Genomic DNA, 20,419 nt, shown 5'->3' on the forward strand with positions numbered 1-20,419 from the left:
AAAAAAAAGAAAGGACTGCTGGGGGTGAATGATAGTAGTCAGGGGTGTCATGGCCTCACCCTAAGCAAATTATTGAAGGACCTTTGATAACTAAAGAGACCTTGCATTGTGGTGCAACATTATGCTCCATTAGGCAGAGGAAACTGGAGTCCCTGGCATGCCCAGTCCTGGAGTCAACGATGGGTTGTTGCTCAGTACAACAAGCAGATGCCTCCAAATTCAGGGCTCTTGCTGTTCCAGGCCTGGGCCCTGGACAGTGAGGAGAGGCAGTAATGGGGTGGCCAGTGTCATTTGCCAAACGGGTCCTCACCCATCTCAAAAAAAATCCCAAAAGGAATTTTCTGAGGGCATAACGCCCACTCTCAGTAGAATTGCCATGCTGGATAAAGTGTGGCATCGTGTGGGGGCTTAGCCCAGCCTCCTCTCTGCGGCCAGAGCAGTCTCTAATGCTCCATCTGACCAGGTCACTCTCCTGCTTGAACTCCTTCAGCTATTCCTTACTGCCCTTAGCATGCCCTTCTTAGCATGTTAGGATTTTGATCCAGGTGATTTCTCCATTCTGACCACATCTCCCACTCTACAGCCCAGCTTATTGAACCACTTTTTTTTTTTTTTTATGATGGAGTCTTGCTCTGTCGCCCAGGCTGGAGTGCAGTGGCATGATCTCCGCTCACTGCAAGCTCCGCCTCCCAGGTTCACGCCATTCTCCTGCCTCAGCCTCTTGAGTAGCTGGGACTACAGGCACGCACCACCACGCCTGGCTAATTTTTTTGTATTTTTAGTAGAGACGGGGTTTCACTGTGTTAGCGAGGATGGTCTCGATCTCCTGACCTCGTGATCTGCCCGCCTCGGCCTCCCAAAGTGCTGGGATTACAGGCATGAGCCACTGCACCTGGTCTGAACCACTTGTTTTTCCTTCCAATCCACTATGTTCTGTTGCCTCCATGCTTTTTTTTTTTTTTTTTTTTTTTTGTACAGGGCCTTGCTCTGTCACCCGGGCTGGAATGCAATGGTGCCACCATGGTTCACTACAGCCTCGACTTCCCTCCCACCTCAGTTTCCTGGGTAGCTGGGACCACAGGTGCACGCCACCATGCCCAGCTTCTTTTTTTTTTTCAATTTTTTTTTTTTTTTTTTGGTAGAGACAGGGTTTCACTATGTCATCCAGGTTGGTCTTGAATTCCTGGGCTCAAACGGTCCACCCATCTTGGCCTCCCACAGTGCTGGGATTACAGGTGTGAGCCACCACACCCAGCTGCCTGTGTGCCTTTGCACAAGCTATCTGCTGCTCTGGAATGCTTTCCTTCCACCCCAGCTCCTCCTCAGCTGGCTCACTCCTACTCATCCTTCTGGACTCAGCTTAGATGCTGGAAAGTCTTTCCTGACCCACAGAGTTGGAGCTGGGCTGGAGCTCAATGGGTCCACAGCACTCTTCCCCTCTCTCTCTCTCTTTTTTTTTCTCCCGAATCCCTGATATGATAGTACCCCTCTCTTTTACCTACTCAACTACTTACATGCAACCCGTCTTCAGGCATCAGCTCAAACAGCTTCTCCTGAGTCATCTTAGACTACACTAGGCCCCCCTCTTACACTCTATTTCCTTCCTTCCTTCCTTCCTTCCTTTCCTTCCTTTCTTTTTTTTTTTTTTTTGACAGAGTCTTGCTCTGTCACCCAGGCTGGAGTGCAGTGGTGCAATCTCAGCTCAGTGCAACCTCTGCCTCCCAGGTTCAAGCGAGTTTCCTGCCTCAGCCTCCCGAGTAGCTGGGATTACAGCTGCCTGCCACCATGCCCAGATAATTTTTTTTTTTTTTGTATTTTTAGTAGAGATGGGGTTTCATCATGTTGGCCAGGCTGGTCTTGAACTCCTGACCTCAAGTGATCCACCTGCCTTGGTCTCCCAAAGTGCTGGGATTACAGGCGTGAGCCATCATGCCTGGCCTGTTATTTTTCTTTCATAACTCATATGACAATAGGTAATGATAGGTCTGTAAGAGCATTTCATTAATGTCTGTCTCCCACACTACTCTGTAAACACTGTAGGTGGATGTGTCTTGTCTGCTTAGGTCACCATTGGGTCCCAAGAGTTTGGCACATAAATATTTACTAAACGAATAAATGAATGAATTCCTCTGGGTTCCCATAACATATGGATATTTCCCCTAGCACCATACTTAGCTCATTACAAGGGCCCATGTTCTTCTTTGTCTCCCCAGCTGACCTATAAGCTCCTTGAGTGGCGGGATGATATTTTGCCAGTGTGACTTGCCAGTGCTTGTCCCATTGCTTAGCAATTAGGCACTCAAAGAATATTTTTGCATAGATGAATAAATGAATAAATGATGATAGGCCAGGCGCGGTGGCTCATGCCTATAATCCCAGTGCCTTGGGAGATGGAGGTGGGTCGATCCCTTAAGCCCAGGAGTTTCAGAACAGCCTGGGCAACATGGTAAAACCTGTCTCTATAAAAACACAAAAATTTACCTTAGGGTGTGGTGGCATGCACCTGTAGTCCCAGCTCCTTGGGAGGCTGAGTTGGTAGGACCTCTTGAGCTCTTGAGCCCAGGTGCTAGAGGTTGCAGTGAGCCATGATTGCGCCACTGCACTGCAGCCTGGGTGACAAAGTGAGACCCTGTTTTTGAAGAAAAAAAAAAAAAGATGACAGGCATTCACTCATGTTCTCTTATACTTTATACTTTATTCTTTTTTTTTTTTTTTTTTTTTTTGAGACGGAGTCTCGCTCTGTCGCCCAGGCTGGAGTGCAGTGGCGCGATCTCGGCTCACTGCAAGCTCCGCCTCCCAGGTTCACGCCATTCTCCTGCCTCAGCCTCCCGAGTAGCTGGGACTACAGGCGCCCGCTACCACGCCCGGCTAATTTTTTTTTTGTATTTTTAGTAGAGACGGGGTTTCACCGTGTTAGCCAGGATGGTCTCGATCTCCTGACCTCGTGATCCGCCCGCCTCGGCCTCCCAAAGTGCTGGGATTACAGGCGTGAGCCACCGCGCCCGGCCTATACTTTATTCTTTATACAGCAAAGTGGTCTTAAAAAACACAGGCCAAGTTCGTGCGGTGGCTCACGCCTGTAATCCCAGCACTTTGGGAGGCCAAGAGGGGCGGATCACTTGAGTCCAGGAGTTCAAGACCAGCCTGGGCAACATGGTGAAACCCTGTCTCTACAAAAAAATACAAAAATTAGCTGGGCATGGTGGTGCATGTCTGTAGTCCCAGCTACACAGGAGGCTGAGGTAGGAGGATTGCTTTAGCCCAGGAGGTTGAGGCTGCAGTAAGCCGTGATTGTGCCACTCCACTCCACCCTGGGTGACAGAGCAGAGTGTACATTTCATGAAGGCTGTTCACCACTGTATCTCCTGGCTCAGTACAATGCACAGCACATAGTAGGTGCTCCAAAATATTTGTTGACTGGGTCAACAAATGAATGAATGAATATGATAATAGCTTTTTGTGATAGAGGGCAGGTGCTGCCAGACTTGCAGGCAGACAGAAGAGTGATTTATTGTGCTTAAAGAAAAAGAGAAACTGGACTGCTAAGAACTGATGGAGGGAGCCAGGAAGGAATCTAGGTTTGCCAGACTCCACTGTGAGCTCATGGAATCTGGGAATCCCAGGGCCAGCTCATGCCACCTGACTCCAGTCAACCCATAATGAAATTCAGTATGCAAAAACCAAAACCAAAGGCTGGGCTGGCTTCTACTTTAAGTCCACCTGTATTCAGAGTGTCCATACAGGGATCTACGGGGGCATGTAAAGATTCCTGGCAGATGTACCTCTTTGCTCTGTTCCAGAAGGTTTTCTTTTTCTCCAAGTGTCTTGGAATTCACAAGAGATTGTTGTTAGGCAACAGAAACAATGAAAGAAGACAGGTGACTCATTCACCAATACATCTGAAATCTAAAATGTATTAATTTAATTTGGTTTATATTACCATGAGACAATTCTTATTTTGATAGCACATTTCCTACCCCTATAAAAATCTAAAAATGCCACACAAAAAAAGAATTTTTACAATGGTGAATACAAAGAGCCAGGTTTCCAAAATAAAGCCCACTGATACTTTAAAGAGAAGAAGAAAAACACATACCTCCTCCTCCAACCCTCTCTCCTTTAAAACTATTTCTTTTCAGATATAATTTTGCTTGGTTGTCACAGTCTTTAACGTTTCCCCCCTAGGTTCTTTTTCTCCTTTGTTATCAACAAAAATATGAGCATGAAAGGGGCGGGAAGTGTTTGTTTTTATGTACACATCTTTGATCATATCAGAAAGGGAAGAATCATGAACACCCACTGCTGACTGATTTTAAGAACTAAATCTTGATTCTAGTTTCTACAGGGAAGATGAATAACATGAATAAAGAGAAGCTTACACATCTTTCATAAGTGTCAAGGGCCTAAGTTTGGTTCTTTTTATTTAAAATTTAACTCACTGGGTAAAGCCAATGGCATCCTCTGTTAGAAGAGGCCTGAAAGGGATGCAAGTGAAGCCCTCGTCCTGGGACCCCCTAACTCCCCAAACAGCCCCACCTGTCAGACCGCTTGAAGCTGTGCAAAAAGACAAGACGTATATAGCATAAAAACGAGGCATTTAAATCACCTCCATTATGGTATCGTCTTGACAGGAAAACTATTTTGAATGTGGCTTTTCAAGAAAGATTTTTAAAAACCCATTGACATTTCAGAGGCTAAGTGGGAGTGGTTAAGAGCATGGTTCTGGGCTGGGCGCAGTGACTCACACCTGTAATCCCAGCTCTTTGAAAGGCTGAGGTGGGTGGATCACAAGGTCAGAAGTTCAAGACCAGCCTGGCCAATGTGGTGAAACCCTGTCTATACTAAAATACAAAAATTAGCTGGGTGTGGTGGCAGGTGCCTGTAATCCCAGCTACTCGGGAGGCTGAGGCAGGAGAATGGCGTGAACCCGGGAGGCAGAGGTTGCAGTGAGCTGAGATCGCGCTCCAGCCTGGGTGACAGAGCAAGACTTCATCTCGAAAAAACAACAACAACTAAAAAAGAGGGTGGTTCTGGATTCTGGCAGATCTGGGCCCCAGCACTGCCACATAATCTCAGCATGACCTAAGTCTCTGTTTTCTTATTTATAGAATGAGGAATACAACATTAACTACTGTAGGATTGTTGAGAGGCCTGGATGAAATATGAAGCACTTTGCCTGGAGCAGTGGCTCTTGCCTGTAATCCCAGCACTTTGGGAGGCCGAGGTGGGCGGATCACGAGGTCAGGAGATCGAGACCATCCTGGCCAACATGGTGAAACCCTATCCCTACTAAAATACAAAAAAAAAATTAGCCAAGTGTGGTGGCGTGAGCCTGTAGTCCCAGCTACTCAGGAGGCCGAGGCAGGGGAATTGCTTGAACCTGGGAGGCGGAGGTTGCAGTGAGCCGAGATCGCGCCACTGCACTCCAGCCTGGTGACAGAGCAAGACTCTGTCTCAAAAAAAATAAAATAAAAAATAAAGAAATATGAAGCATTTAGCACAGAGCCTGGCATACATCAAAGACTTAGTAAATATGAACTATTATTATTTTTACTCATCGAGTGTGTTAATTATTGTATGAGCAAATGAATTAATAAGTTTTAGGTATACATGACTTTGTTTTCTGCTCAGGCTTATATTAGGTATCAGTGATTCTCAACTCCGGCTGCACATTAGAATCACCCAGGGAGATTTTTTAAAATGCTAAGTTCCTACTGAAGAACAATTGAATCTGAGTCCTGGGGGTGGTGCCTGAGTATCATATTTTTTAAAAGCTCTCCAGGTGATTCTTGTGTGCTGCCAGAGTTGAGAATTACTGGGCTCTACAGAAATGAGGAAATCCTCTGATGTTAACTAAACCAACAGACAAAACTAGGGTGGGCAGGCCTCCCCTGCTTTTCTCCCACTCATCTGAAAATAAACTGAAAGGCAACCAGGGCCATCAGGCATTGGCTAACCCTGATGTGGCCCACACTTTGGTTTTACCTTTTGTTTTTACTGACTCTTGTCTAAATCTAACTCCTTTTGCTGGCTTTCCTCAGGCTAAACCAAGAGTCCCTTTAACTTTTTCTATGGAACTTAATTGGCGGAGGGGGTGCTCACCACTTCGTGGCCACGAGTAAAGATTTTCCAATCTTCATTACAAAGCTGCCAAGTCAGCTCTTGTCTTCATCATTCCGACATCTTTACTCATTTTAGTTCTACCTTTCTTTTTTTGTTTTGTTTTTTTTTGTTTTTTGTGATGGGGTCCCCTCTATTGCCCAGGCTGGGGGAGTGCAGTGGCGCCATCCTGGCTCACTACAACCTCCGCCTCCCAGGTTCAAGTGATTTCTGCCTCAGCCTCCTGAGTAGCTAGGACTACAGACGTGCGCCACCACTCCCAGCTAATTTTTGTTTGTTTGTTTGTTTAGTAGAGACAGGCTTTCACCATGTTAGCCAGGGTGGTCTGGAACTCCCGCCCTCAAGTGGTCTGCCTGCTTCCACCTCCCAAAGTGCTGGGATTACAGGCATGAACCATCTTACCCGGCCAGCCGGCCTGCCTGCCTGCCTGCCTTCCTTCCTTCCTTCCTTCCTTCTTCCCTCCCTTCCTCTTCCTCTCTCTCTCTCTCTCTCTCTCTCTCTCTCTCTCTCTCTCTCTCTCTCTCTTTCTTTCTTTCTTTCTTTCTGACAGAGTCTTGGTCTGTTACCCAGGCTGGAGTGCAGTGACGGGGTTTCACCTTGTTAGCCAGGATGGTCTCAGTCTCCTGACCTCGTGATCCACCCGCCTCAGCCTCCCAAACTGCTGGGATTACAGACTTGTGGAGGCCAGGCACTGTGGCTCACGCCTGTAGTCCCAGAACTTTGGGAGGTGGAGGAGGGCAGATCACTTGAGGTTGGGAATTTGAGACCAGCCATGGTGACACCATGTCTCTACTAAAAATACAAAAATTAGCTGGGTGTGGTGGCGCGCACCTGTAATCCCAGCAACTCAGGAGCCTGAGGCATGAGCATCGCTTGAACCCTGGAGGTGGAGGTTGCAGTGAGCTGAGATAGCATTACTGCACTCCAGCCTGGGCAACAAACAGAGTGAGACTTTGTCTCAAAAAAAAAAAAAAAGTTGTGGAGTACCTTTCTTAGGGGTTTGGAGTGCCTCAAATGAGACAATATCCAGGAAAGTGCTTTTTAAACTGTGAAGCTATTTACCAGCATGATAATGAAACAATTATGACAGGTAGGTAAATAATAACAAAGTCCTCATGATGTAGAGAATCTCTAAAATGATCTTTGATAGGGTTTTTGTTTTGTTTTTTCCTTAATATTCTTGGCACAGCCTTAAATTTGGTGGGTATGGGCATTATGTTCGGCAACCTAAAGTAAGTTGAAATCTAAAGTTTCAACCCAAATGCCATCAATTGAAATCAGTGACCAAGTCCTTGGCTTTAATGACACTTGATTTTTCTCCTACGTCTATAGCCCATATTCTTTCAGCAAATATTTTTAAAGTGCATTTTATGTTTCAGGCCCTGTGTTAAATTATGGGAGCAAAGAAATCAAAAAATGAGACAAGTTCTTGTCCTTATGGAGCTCCTCCTAATGGAGGAGGCAGAAAATAAACCAGCAGGCAAACAAGACAATTCTAGAGCAGAACAAGTGCTATAAAGAACAAAAATGCAGTGATGTGGTAGAGAGAGACTGGGGTGTTTGAGGTGTGGTCAGGAAAGGCCTCTCTGACCAGATGATATAGAAACTGGCCCTCAGTCGGGCGCGGTGGCTCATGCCTGTAATCCCGCACTTTGGGAGGCTGAGGTGGGCAGATAACGAGGTCAGGAGATCGAGACCATCCTGGCTAACACGGTGAAACCCCATCTCTACTAAAAATAAAAAAAATTAGCCGGGCATGGTGGCAGGTGCCTATAGTCCCAGCTGCTCGGAAGGCTGAGGCAGGAGAATGGCATGAACCCAGGAGGTGGAGCTTGCAGTGAGCTGAGATCACGCCACTGCACTCCAGCCTGGGTGACAGAATGAGACTCCGTCTCAAAAAAAAAAAAAAAAAAAAAAAGGAAAGAAACTGGCCCTCAGGAATGAGAAGGAGCCAGGCTGGTGAAGAGTTAAGGCAAAGAGATTTCCAAGTAGAGAGTACAACAAATGGAAAGATCCTGATGTGGGAAAGGAATTGATGCATTTTAGGCAAAAAGGAGGGCTCTGGTGTTGCAGAGGGCAACACAGTCTCCTGTTTTGGTTTCTCTTTCTCTTAAATGTTGGGTCTGGACCTTCATGCTTTCCTAGCACACATTCTCTAAGTGCAGGTGACTTACACATCTTTCTCTCCACACTGGGTCTTTCCTGAGCTCACGTCTGGATATTTCCCTGTCTATAGAACATTTCCTCATATATGTTTGGTAGGCACTGAAACTAAGCATGACCAAAAATAACTGTCTGCATGACTCTCCACCCACTTCCCCACAAGCTTTACCTCCAGGGCTCTTTCTCTATCTCTCTGGGTAAATGGCACCACTATTTCCTCACTGATCAAATCAGAAACCTGAAGATGATTCTTGACTTCTCCTTTCCCAGAACCTCCATATCCAATCCATCGGCAAGGCCTAGGCTCCTCTGTTCTTCTGCGTAGCTCCCAAATCTATCCACTTCTTTCCATCCCCACGACACTTACATACTATATACTACACTATGTACTCTAAACCATCTAATCTGTTTTAAAGACCCCTCTGCTCTACTCTACTCCCCTCCCCTCCCTTTGTTTAACTACTGGAACATTTGCTGTGTATCCTCACAGACTTAACTACTCATTAATTCAACTGAGTTCCTGTTAACTGCCAGGCACTGCTTTAGGTGCTAGAGTTATAACAGTGAGCAGAGGCCGGGCATAGTGGCCTATGTCTGTAATCCCAGCACTTTGGGAGGCCGAGGTGGGAAGATTCTTCAGGTCAGCAGTTTGAGACCAGGCTGGCCAACATAGTGAAACCCTGTCTCTACGAAAAATACAAAAATTAGCCGGGTGTGGTGTTGCATGCCTGTAATCCCAGTTACTTGGGAGGTTGAGGCAAGAGAATTGCTTGAACCCGGGCGGCGGTGGTTGCAGTGAGCTGAGATCGCACCACTGCATTCCAGCCTGGGTGACAGAGTAAGACTCCATATCAAAAAACAAAACAAAACCAGTGAGCAGAAGAGAAAATATCTGCTTTAATGAATCTTACATTTTATTGAGGGAAGACAGACAATAAATAAATAACCATACAATGTGTTAGGTCAGCAGTCTCCAACCTTTTTGGCACCAGGGACTGGTTTTGTGGGAGCAGGGGGAATGGTTTTGGGATGAAACTGTTCCACCTCAGATCATCAGGCATTACAGGCATTAGATTCTCATAAGGAGCCCACAGCCTAGTTCACAATAGCATTCATGCTCCTACGAACATCTAATGCCGCCGTGATCTGGCAGGAGGTGGAGCTCAGACCTTAATGCTTCCTCACTTGCTGCTCACCTCCTGCTGGGCAGCCTGGTTCCTGGCAGGCCACAGACCTGTACCAGTCTGTTGCCTGGGGTTTGGGGACCCGTGTTAGGTGGTTGTAAGTGCTCTGAAGTACATTAGGGTAAGGGAATGAAATGGGGAGGAGGAAAGGGAAATGGGTGCTGGTTTTATTTTATTTCTTTAAATTTTGAGACAGGCTCTCACTCTGTTGCCCAGGCTGGAGTGCAGTAGTGCAATCATAGCTCACTGCAGCCGTGACCTTCTGTGCTCAAGTGATCCTCCTGCCTCAGCCTCCTGTGTAGCTGGGACTACAAGTGTATGCCATCACACTTAGCTAATTCTTAAATTTTTCATAGAGACAATTTCTTGCTATGTTGCTCAGGCTGGTCTCAAACTCTTGAGCTCAAGTGATTCTCCCACTTTGGCCTCCCATAGTGCTGGGATTATAAGCATGAGCCTCTGTGACTGGCTGCTGGTGCTATTTTACAGAGTGGTCAGGGAAAGCCTGTTGGACAACGTGACATTTGGGCAGAGATCTGGGTGATGGAGTGACTAAGGGCTATCAGAGGGATGACCATTCCAAGCAGAGAGAACTGGAAAGGTAAAGGCCCTGAGGTCTGAGGGTGCTTGATGCCTTACAGGAATGTCTAGACCACAACGTGGGCTTGAATGGAAAGATAGAGAGAAAAAGCCAAAGACGGGTCTGAGATGACTGGGTGAGATCAAATAAATTTTATTCAGAGTGAGATGGGAAGCACTGGAGGGTGATTTTTTTTTTCCTTTACTTTCCAACTTTTATTTTTGGTTCAGAGGGTACATGTGCATGGATAAATTAATTGTATGTCATGGGGGTTTGGTGTAAAGATTATTTTGTCACCCAGGTAATAAGCGTAGTAAGCCATAGGTAGTTTTTCGATCCTCACGCTCCTCCCACCCTCCGCTCTCAAGTAGGCCCAGGTGTCTTCGGTTTTCTCCTTTGTATCCACGCGTACTCAGTGTTTCTGGAGGGGTTCTGAATAGAGTGGTGTGTTTTCAATGGCTCTGCCACTATGAGAAAAGAGCATTAAGATAATATGTATATGCTGTTCAAACGTAAATGCAATATTATGTGCATTGCTTCACTATCTTCTTTCTTCCAAAGTGAATTTTTTTAAAAAACAAAATATGATCCTGTCATCCTTTGTTTAGAATCCTTTGTGGTTCTCCATTCCCCTAAGGGTCAAGTCTAAACTCTCACCAAGCCCTCCCGAGTCTGGCCTCTACCTACCTCAGCAGCTCCCAAATCACAGAAAGTTTTTCCTAGATGGGACTCGGGGCCTTCAACCTTCCTTGTTCCCTTGGTCTAAAATGAAGTTATTTCCTTCCCTCCCCATCTACCTTGTCAACATCGTGCCAAGCACTATTCTAGGCACCAGGGATACAGCACTGAACAAAATAGACAAAAACTCTAGCCCTTGTGTGGCTGAAATTCTAACAGGAATAAGACAGAAGAAAAGCAATAAATTATATACCATATATGACTATTTTAAATTTTAAATATGTATTAAATATATATTTTTAAAATATGATTTTATATATCAGGAGGGTGATATAAGCTAAGGAAAACACTGAACAAGGAAGAGGGGGGTGAGATGTTGAGAAACGGGTTGCAATTCTGAATAAGGTGGCCAAGCGGAAGCCTCACTGAGAAGGTGCCTGGCAGAGGTGAGGGAGCAAGTCAGGCAGCTATTTGGAGGAGAGCATTCCAGGCAGGAAGCAAACGCCCTAAGGCAAGAGCCTACTTGATAGCAAAGAGGACACTGTGTCAGAGAAGAGTATCGGGGCAAGTGAGGCCCTTATAAGGCCCTCACTTCTCTGTACTTTGAGTGAGATGGGAGCCACTGGAGGGTCTGGGTGGAGCAGGAGTGACATGCTTGGACTTTTTTTTTTTTTTTAGACGGAGTCTCGCTCTGTCGCCCAGGCTGGAGTGCAGTGGTGCGATCTGGGCTCACTGCAAGATCTGCCTCCCTGGTTCACGCCATTTTCCTGCCTCAGCCTCCCAAGTAGCTGGGACTACAGGTGCCCGCCACCACGCCTGGCTAATTTTTTGTATTTTAGTAGAGACGGGGTTTCACCGTGTTAGCCAGGATGGTCTCCATCTCCTGACCTCGTGATCCGCCCGCCTCAGCCTTCCAAAGTGCTAGGATTACAGGCATGAGCCACTGTGCCTGGCCACTTGGACTTACTTTCTAACAAGATCACTCAGGCTGCTGAACTTAAACTAGACTGAGGGAGGCAAGTGCAGAAGTAGGGAGACCAGTTGGGCTCCCCTGGCAAAATTGAGGCTAAGAGATGATGGTGGCTTGATTCAGGATGGTAACAATGGTGATAGTAAAAAGTTAGTGGCTTCTGGGCCTGGTGCGTTGGCTCATGCCTGTAATCCCCGCACTTTGGGAGGCCGAGGTGGGTGGATTGCTTGAGGTTAGGAGTTCGAGACCAGCCTGGCCAACACAGCGAAACCCCGTCTCTACTGAAAAAAATACAAAAATTGCTGGGTGTGGTGGCGGGCACCTGTAATCCCAGCTAATCGGGAGGTTGAGGCAGGAGAACTGCTTGAACCTGGGAGGTGGAGGTTGCAGTGAGCCGAGATTGCGCCACTGCACTCCAGCCTGGGTGACAGAGTGAGACTCCGTCTCAAAAAAAAAAAAAAAAAAGTTAGTGGGTTCTGACTCTATTTCGAAGGCAGAAGTACAGGGTCTAAGGAATCAGATTTGAAATGCATGCAAGAAATAAAATAGCCAAGGATAACGCCAAGGTTTTTGGCCTCAGCCATGGCCAAAATGAGAGGATGGAGTTGCCATCTAAGGAAATTAAGAAAACTATGGGATAAGTAGGTTTGGACAGTGGTATTAGGAAATCAGTTTTGGACATACAGACATATAAAGTTTGAGATGGGCTGGGCATGGTGGCTCATGCCATTTAATTTCTGTAATCCTTTGGGAGGCCAAGGCAGGAGGATCACTTGAGCTCGGAGTTTGAGACCTGCCTGGGGAAGATAGCAAGACCTCATCTCTACTAAAAAAAAAAAAAAAAAAAAAAAAAGCTGTGCGTGGCAGCACATACCTGTAGTCCCAGCTACTTGGGAGGCTGAGGATCATTTGAGTCTGGGAGATCAAGGCTTCATTGAGCTATGATCAAACCACTGTATTCCAACCTAGGTGATGGAGTGAGACCCTGGCTCAAAAATAAGATAAAGTTTGAGATGCCTAGATGCCTATTGGCTATCTAAGTGGAAACATCAAGTAGGGAGCTGGATAAGTGAGCTGCAAATTCAGGGGAAAGGTTCAGGTTAGGGATATATACCTGGAGTTGTCAGCATATTTCAAGTCAAAAGACTGGCATCAATGGGTTAATGACAGCTATTAGTAGAAAAAGAAGTCCAAGGACAGAGCCCTGGGACACTTTAACAGAAATTTATAACTTCAGGCTGGAGTGCACTGCAAACTCCGCCTCTCGGGTTCAAGTGATTCTCCTACCTCAGCCTCTGGAGTAGCTGGGATTATAGGCATGTGCCACCACACCCAGCTAATTTTTTTTTTTTTTTTTTTTTGAGACAGAGTTTTGCTCTTGTCGCCCAGGCTGGGGTGCAATGGTGTGATCTTGGCTCACTGAAACCTCTGCCTACCAGGTTCAAGCGATTTTCCTGCCTCAGCCTCCCAAGTAGCTGGGACTACAGGCATGTACCACTATGCCCAGCTAACTTTGTATTTTTAAGGAGATGGGGTTTCACCATGTCTGGTCTCGAACTCCTGACCTCAGGTAATCTGCACACCTCTGCCTCCCAAAGTGCTGGGATTACAGGCATGAGCCACCACGCCTGGCCATAATTTTTGTATTTTTAGTAGAGATGGGGTTTCACCATGTTGTTCAGGCTGGTCTCGAACTCCCAACCTTGGGTGATCCACCCGCCTCGGCCTCCCAAAGTGCTGGGATTACAGGTGTGAGCCACCGCACCCAGCCAAAGTTTTTAACTTTTTTTGATCTCAAGACTCCTTTACACTATAAAAAATTTGAAGATCTCAAAGAACTCTTGCTTATGAAAGTTTTATCTATCAATATTTACTATAGGCCTGGCAGGGTGGCTCACACCTGTAATCTCAACACTTTGGGAGGCTGAGGCAGCAGGATCACTGAGGCTTGGAGTTCAAAACCAGCTTGGTCAACAGAGTGAGACCCCTGTTTCTACAAAAGAAAAATTTAAAAATTAACCACACGTGGTGGTGTGCATCTGTAGTCCCAGCTACTGGGGAGGCTGAGGTGGAAGGATTGCTTGCACCTGGGAGATCAAGGCTACACTGAGCTATGATAGCACCACTGCACTCCAGCCTGGGCAACAGAGCAAGACCCTGTATTAGAAATTAAAATAAACAATTTCAAAATATTTATTAATTCATTAAAAAATAACAATAGCAAGTCCATTACATCTTATCAATAAATAACATTTTTGAAAAGAAAAATAACCATGTTTTCTAAAACAAAAGAAAAATTCAGGGAGAACTGTTGTTGTTTTGCATTTTTACAAATCTCTATCTGACTTAATAAAAGATAGCTGGATTCTCATATGTGCTTTCACATTGCATGTGATGCCACATCATACATCATTTAGCCTGTGGAATACTCTACTGTACACCCGGGAGAAAATGAGCATAAAAAAGCAAATGATATTTTAGAATTATTGTGAAAATAGTTTTTACCACATTACTCCCTGAAAAGTTATCAGTGATGTCCAGACTATACTTTGAGAATCCCTGCTCTAACATTTAGAGGTTAGGAGGAATTAGAAGTCATCATCAATGGAGACTAAGAAGCTTAGCCAGGAAGGCTGGATGGAAATCAGGAAAGCCTGGTGCCCTGGAGGCCCAATGAAGAAAGTGTTTCAAGGAGGAGAGTGACCAAATGCTGCTGATTGTACAAGTCAACTGAGGAAGGACGGACCATTGGATTTTGCAACGTGGAGGCCATCAGGGACCTTCATAAAAGCAGTTTTGGTGGAAAGGCGAATGCTAAAGCCAGACTGGAGATGAGTCACCACATAAAGGTCACTTCTCAGGTCTCCGAATCCCAGGGTAGTTAATTTACCCACAAACCTACATGTATCTCTCCCCTATCTTCACACTTGCCTTTCTTTTTTCCTGGTTTACGTGTGTGCCTGTGTGTGTGTGTGTGTGTGTGTGTGTGTGTGTATTGACACAGGGTCTCAATCTGTTGCTCAGGCTGGAGTGCAGTGGTGCAATCTCGCCTCACATCAAACTCCACCTCCCTGGCTCAAGTGATCCTCCCACCTCAGCCCTCTCCACATAGCTGGGACTACAGGTGCATGCCACCACACCCAGCTAATTTTTGTATCCTTTGTAAAGACAGGGTTTTGCCATGTTGTGCAGGCTGGTCTCCAACTCCTGAACGCAAACGATCCTCCGCCTCAGCCTCCCAGAATGCTGGAATTACCGGCATGAGCCACCGTGCCCAGTCAGTTTACCTGTTTTAGTATCTGTCTTCATCATTACCTTTAAGTGGTGTGAAAACAGGGATCAAGTCAGTCTCAGTTTTTATTCACTTCCTCAGCACACAGCAAGTGCCTGGGATATAGAGAATGCTCCAGCCTTCCCTGGTAAGCTTTTCACGATTTCTCAGGAGTAGGAAACTGACTCTCTTTAGGCACACTGCAAATCTCTCATATCTTCCTGTCACCTTACCCTTCTTTTCCCAAAACAAACCCTGTAATTTCATCTTCAGGGTCCCATGCTTAGAGAGATCCCATGCTGGCTGGGCGCAGTGGCTCACACCTGTAATCCCAGCACTTTGGGAGGCTGAGGCAGGCAGATCACAAGGTCAAGAGATTGAGACCATCCTGGCCAACATGCTGAAACCCCATCTCTACTAAAAATACAAAAATTAGTTGGGCGTGGTGGCAGGCGCCTGTAGTCCCAGCTACTTGGGAGGCTGAGGCAGGAGAATCGCTTGAACCCAGGAGGCGGAGGTTGTAGTGAACCGAGATCACACCACTGCACTCCAGCCTGGTGACAGAGCAAGACTCCGTCTCAAAAATAAATAAATAAATAAATAAAAATAAAAAAATAATAATAATAAAGAAAGAGCCCATGCTTGGTTTAATACTCTGCTGTTGCTGTCTTAAAATGGTTAATAGTTTTTGAACAAGGGGCCTTAAAATTAAGAATCTTGTCCCGAGTGAAATGATGAATATACAAAGTTATGGAGCATAATCCTTTAACTCTGTCTCTTGTTACTTTATCCAAATACTTTATTGACTGATTACTATTGTGTTAGGCTGTTCTTGCACTGCTAAAAAGAAATACCTGAGACTGTGTAATTTATAAAGAAAAAACAGGCCGGGTGCGGTGGCTTATGCCTGTATCCCAGCACTTTGGGAGGCTGAGGCAGGCGGATCACCTGAGGTCAAGAGTTCGAGACCAGCCTGGCCAACACGGTAAAACTCCGTCTCTACTGAAAATACAAAAATTAGCCGGGCGTGGTGGTGTGCACCTGTAATCCCAGCTACTTGGTAAGCTGAGGCAGGAGAATCGTTTGAATCCAGGAGGTAGAGGTTGCAGTCTGGGTGACAAAAGTGAAACTCCGTCACACACAGACACACACACACAAAAAAAAAAAAAAAAGAAAAGAAAAAAGAAAAAACGTTTAATTGGCTCATGGTTCTGCAGGCTGTATAAGCAAGGCCTGGGCATCTGCTCTACTTTCTGGAGAGGCCTCAGGGAACTTTTACTCATGGTGGAAGGTGAAGCTGGAGCAGGCACATTACATGCTGAAAGCAGGAGCAGGAGGGGGCTGAGGTGCCACATCTTTTTGTTTTTGAGACAGGGTCTCACTCCGTTGCCCAGGCTGGAGTGTAGTGGCACAATCATGGCTCACTGCAGCCTCAATCTCCCCAGGCTCAGGTGATCTTCCCACCTGAGCCCCCCAGGTAGCTGGGACTACAGGCACACACCACCATGCCTGGCTTTTTTTTTTTTTTTGAGACAGACTTTTGCTTTTGTTGCCAAGGTTGGAGTGTAATGGCGTGATCTCGGCTCCACCTCTGCCTCCCAGGTTCAAATGATTCTCCTGCCTCAGCGTCCCGAGTAGCTGGGATTACAGGCACATGCCACCATGCCCTGCTAATTTTGTACTTTTAGTAGAGATGGGGTTTCACCATGTTGCCCCAGGCTGGTCTTGAACTCCTGACCTCAGATGATCTGCCCGCTTTGGCCTCCTGAAGTGCTGGGACTATAGGCGTGAGCCACGGTGCCCAGCCTGCTTGGCTAATTTTTTTGTATTTTTTTGTAGAGATGGGTTTTTACCATGTTGCCCAGGCTGGTCTCGAACTCCTGGGCTCAAGCTATCCGCCCACCTTGGCTTCTCAAAAGTGTTGGGATTACAGGTGTGAGCCACTGTGCCTGGCCGGTGCTACACTTTAAAACGACTACATTTCATGAGAATTCCCTTAGTACCTGGAGGACAGCACCAAGCCATGAGGGATCCTCCTCTATTACCCAAATGCCTCCCACCAGCCCCACCTCCAACACTGGGGATTACATTTCAATGTGAGATTTGGGCAGGGACAAATATCCAAAATATATGAATTATGTTCTGAGTTAGCCAGGTGAAGTAGAGGGACGCCAAAGCCACTCTAGGCAGAGGAGACTACAGGAGCAAAGACCCTGCAGCCAGAAACAGGACAGGGGTAGTTGGACAAGAATGACCTTGTCAGGGTTTGCCTTTTTCTTTTTCTTTTTGAGACAGAGTCTCACTGTGTTGCCCAGGCTGGAGTGCAGTGGTGCAGTCATGGTTCACTGCAGCCTTGAACTCCCAGGCTCAAGCGATCCTCCCACCTCAGCCTCCCAAGTAGCTGGGACTACAGGTAGGTGCCACTACACCCAGCTATGTTTTTGTATTTTTTTGTAGACAAGGGTTCTATCATTTTGCCCAGGCTGGTCTCCTGAGCTCATGTGATCCACCCATCTTGGCCTCCCAAAGTGCTGGGATTACTTGTGTGAGCCACTGTGCCCATCCTCTTTTTCTTAAAGGTTGTTCTCTCCCCACTTCATGGTCCTATTGCCCTTTGTCAGCATCTGTTAACTAGCACAGGCCCACAGTACTTTGAATTACAGTGGGCACATTCACCCACAGATGTTCACTAGGCACTCCCTAGGGGATGGGCAATGTGCTGGGTGCTGCAGGAGATACAGCTCCTGCTTTCCAGAAGTTTATATTCCCTTGGGGGAGAGGGAGATGTGAGGAGTAGAGGGTAAACACGGTAAGGGCAGGTCTCCCTAGCACCCTGCTCTCTATTCAGCACAAGGCCAGCAGTGGACATCGTCGTCTTGCATTATTCAGGTTTATAGGCCAATACTGAAATCTATCTTATTCATCATCCCGTGAGCAGGGGAAACATCATTAGGGTTTTCTATACCAGGATGATAGTGAGCATGTAGTAGTTTTTGTTTTTTTGTGTTGTTTGTTTGCTTTGTAATTTTGTTTTCTTTTGTTTTTGGAGTATTCACTATGAAGATAAGAAAGGGTAAGAATAAAATGCCCCAAATGACCAGAGGAATAGAGATAGAAGTCAGGTCCCTCAAATTTGTTGGAGGAGGGGGACAAGCTGGGAGGGGGGACGTGCTGGGGGCGGGGCGGGAACAAGCCCAAAAAGGGACAGCTGCTGCGGTGCCTCTTTTGTGTTTGTAAATGTCCTCCCCGCAAGGTGGCTCTAGCCTGTAATCCCAGCACTTTGGGAGGCTGAGGAGGATTTCTTGAGCCCATGAGTTTGAGACCAGCCTGGCAACATAGTGAGACTCTGTGTCTGTAGTTCCAGCTACTCCGGAGGCTGAGGTGGGAGGGTCGGTTGTCCAGGGATTTGAGGCTGCAGTGGGCCGTGATCGCGACACTCCACCCCAGCCTGGGCGACAGAGGGAGACCCCGTCTTAAAAAAAAAAAAAAGTCCTTGATCAAGAGGGCTTCGGGTGTTTCCATCTGTGGAGTGAGGGGACGGGTTAGGTGAATTCTAGGGGCGCTTCCACCTCACATTATGAAAGGTCCTGAGAGTCAGATTCTAGTTCCACTGTGTCCCGAAGCTGTGGGGCCTTTCCTTAGCCTCCGCTTCTCCTTCTGTAAAGCCAGGTAGTTGGCCTAGATCACTTTTCCAGAAGACTGTGACTCCGGGACACCTGTGACACTCTTGAGGGGAGCGTGCCCAGTACCCCTGGTCGCGTCTCTGGGATTCCGCCGGGGTGGGGGCCCGCGCGAGGCCGCCCCTGAGCCTCACCTGTGCGCGGAGCGGTGACTCACCTGCCCTCGCGCAGCCCTCTCCGCCCGCGGGCTGTTCCAGGAGTCACCGCTCCTCCTCCCTCTCAGGGGTCACTCCCGGCCTAAGCTCCCACTAGGGGCCGGGGAGGAAGGAATTCTGAGGTGGGCGGCGGGGAGGAAGAGGTCCCTCGGGGGTCCCGGTCCGGCGTTGCCAGACTCTCTTCGCGGTGGGGGCCTTCCCTTTCCCCAAAAGCGGAGGCCGGAACGGCCGGGAGGAGCGGGCGGGGCGGCGGCGGGAGGCGCCGGGAAGAGCGAGTCGGAGGGAGGTGCCAGGAAGGGCGGGCGGGGCCGGGACAGGGGCGGGGGCCGCGGGCGGGGGGCGGGCCGGGGGCGGGGGCGTGGGGCGGCCCATTTCCTCCTCCTAGCCGGACTGGAGGGAGACAAAGCAGCGCCCGTCTGCTTCGGGCCTCTGGAATTTAGCGCTCGCCCAGCTAGCCGCAGGTAACTTCGTACCTCCCTCCTCGCGGGCGCGGTCTCTCGGGCCAGGCCGAGAGGGTCCTTGGGCCGGGCCGTCCCAAGCTGGGCCCCGCGAGCCGCGGGCGGGCGAGCGGGCGGGGCGCGGTTTCTTTGGCGACGTCGCCGGGAATTGGGCCCCGGGCGGGCGTGGGACCCGCGTCGGGCCGGCGGTCCCTTCCCCCGCAGGGCCCGAGTATGGGGCCCGGGCGGGCACGGCCGGCGCTTCCCAGCGCTCGGGAAGTCGGGGGGCCGCCTGGGCTGGGGAGGAGAAACTATAGGCCCAGCGCCGCCGCCGCGTTTCCTCTTGGAAAAGTTTTCTCGCGGTTTCCAAACTTTGTTACCGCGGCCTCGGCGCGCGCGGCAGCCCCGCGCCGGGCCCCTCGGCCGCCTTCCTTCCCTGGGGCGGCTTGTCTGGGAGCCGCTTTCCCGGGAAGTGATTGTCGTCCGGCTCCGAGGCGTTCCTGCCCCCTCCCCCTTCCCGGCCGCTGAGACTTCCCGATGGGGCGGCGGGGACGCGGGCTCGGCGAACCGGGAGGCTGGAGCCCGGGCTTCTCCCATACAGCTTCGCCGTAGGTGGGCCACACCCGTGTGGACTTTTGGCGTGACCGTCCACTTGGACTCGGGGATTACTCAGCTTTCCTGGGTTTCTTGTCGGTTGGACGCACTTAGCTTTCAGCCCTAGTTTTCAGGAGTGGCATTAGAGAGGTTTTTTTTTTTTTTTAATTGTTGTTGACTTTTAAAGGAGCGTGTGTGTGCGTGCGAGTGTGAAGCACTTGTTGGAAAAAATGTTGCCTGAATGAATGCCTGACCTTTGCTTGGCAGCAGTGGCTTCCCAGTAATGCAGGCGGCGGTTGGCCCAGTTCCAAGGTTGACTCCCTCTTACGTCCTCTTGCATCTTGGTGACATTTTTTTGGTGCGTGTGTTTTGTACAGAATTTACAATTATTTGGAAAAGAGCGAGATATGTCAAGTCTACGACTAAATTCGGGGCATTTTATATTTATGATGAAGGAAATGCTTACATCATTGTTGGGACAGGATAGGCATTTTGTGGAGCGAATATTTGTGTTTAGTCAGCAGTGATTTTTAAATACTGGACAGGTGGGTGTTACTTTAAGGAACGGAATTTATAAATCGAATTAA

The 20,419-nt window shown here is 48.0% G+C and overlaps 1 protein-coding gene and 1 long non-coding RNA gene across 11 annotated transcripts in view, besides 6 other annotated features; one reads left to right on the forward strand and one right to left on the reverse strand.

The window, feature by feature from the left end:
• Positions 4,729 to 4,868: a silencer, noted in NCBI's record as "silent region_16403". NCBI's record gives its function as "represses an Ori minimal core promoter by ATAC-STARR-seq in GM12878 lymphoblastoid cells {active_cell/tissue: GM12878}" and the evidence as "EXISTENCE:reporter gene assay evidence [ECO:0000049][PMID:35858748]".
• Positions 8,225 to 8,524: an enhancer, noted in NCBI's record as "active region_23215". NCBI's record gives its function as "activates an Ori minimal core promoter by ATAC-STARR-seq in GM12878 lymphoblastoid cells {active_cell/tissue: GM12878}" and the evidence as "EXISTENCE:reporter gene assay evidence [ECO:0000049][PMID:35858748]".
• On the reverse strand, positions 10,182 to 19,676 carry CTNNA1-AS1 (CTNNA1 antisense RNA 1). Of its 2 annotated transcripts, none has more exons than NR_134244.1 (2): positions 19,275 to 19,676; positions 10,182 to 10,514 (listed from the first exon to the last, which is right to left on the reverse strand). It is a non-coding gene; the product is annotated as a CTNNA1 antisense RNA 1 (long non-coding RNA). The 2 variants fall into 2 exon arrangements; NR_134245.1 differs by lacking the exon at positions 19,275 to 19,676 and adding an exon at positions 18,804 to 19,061.
• Positions 19,067 to 19,506: a silencer, noted in NCBI's record as "silent region_16404". NCBI's record gives its function as "represses an Ori minimal core promoter by ATAC-STARR-seq in GM12878 lymphoblastoid cells {active_cell/tissue: GM12878}" and the evidence as "EXISTENCE:reporter gene assay evidence [ECO:0000049][PMID:35858748]".
• Positions 19,067 to 19,777: a biological region, named in NCBI's record as "H3K27ac hESC enhancer GRCh37_chr5:138089147-138089714".
• CTNNA1 (catenin alpha 1) overlaps positions 19,177 to 20,419 on the forward strand; it is a 181,610-nt gene continuing 180,367 nt past the window's right edge. For 8 of the 9 annotated variants that reach the window (NM_001323982.2, NM_001323984.2, NM_001290307.3 and 5 more), the window contains exon 1: positions 19,177 to 19,262. The gene's annotated coding sequence lies outside the window, so the exon portion shown is untranslated. Of the gene's footprint in view, positions 19,263 to 19,573; positions 19,851 to 20,419 lie in introns of those variants that run through there. The other variant, NM_001323983.1, reaches the window with a different exon arrangement.
• Positions 19,210 to 19,777: an enhancer, noted in NCBI's record as "H3K27ac hESC enhancer chr5:138089147-138089714 (GRCh37/hg19 assembly coordinates)". NCBI's record gives its function as "activates a minimal SCP1, AML or CMV promoter by ChIP-STARR-seq in naive and primed H9 embryonic stem cells {active_cell/tissue: H9 hESC(naive and primed)}" and the evidence as "EXISTENCE:reporter gene assay evidence [ECO:0000049][PMID:30033119]".
• Positions 19,778 to 20,344: an enhancer, noted in NCBI's record as "H3K27ac hESC enhancer chr5:138089715-138090281 (GRCh37/hg19 assembly coordinates)". NCBI's record gives its function as "activates a minimal SCP1, AML or CMV promoter by ChIP-STARR-seq in primed H9 embryonic stem cells {active_cell/tissue: H9 hESC(primed)}" and the evidence as "EXISTENCE:reporter gene assay evidence [ECO:0000049][PMID:30033119]".

This window comes from Homo sapiens, chromosome 5 (genome assembly GCF_000001405.40).
Source record: "Homo sapiens chromosome 5, GRCh38.p14 Primary Assembly".
NCBI lineage: Eukaryota > Metazoa > Chordata > Mammalia > Primates > Hominidae > Homo > Homo sapiens.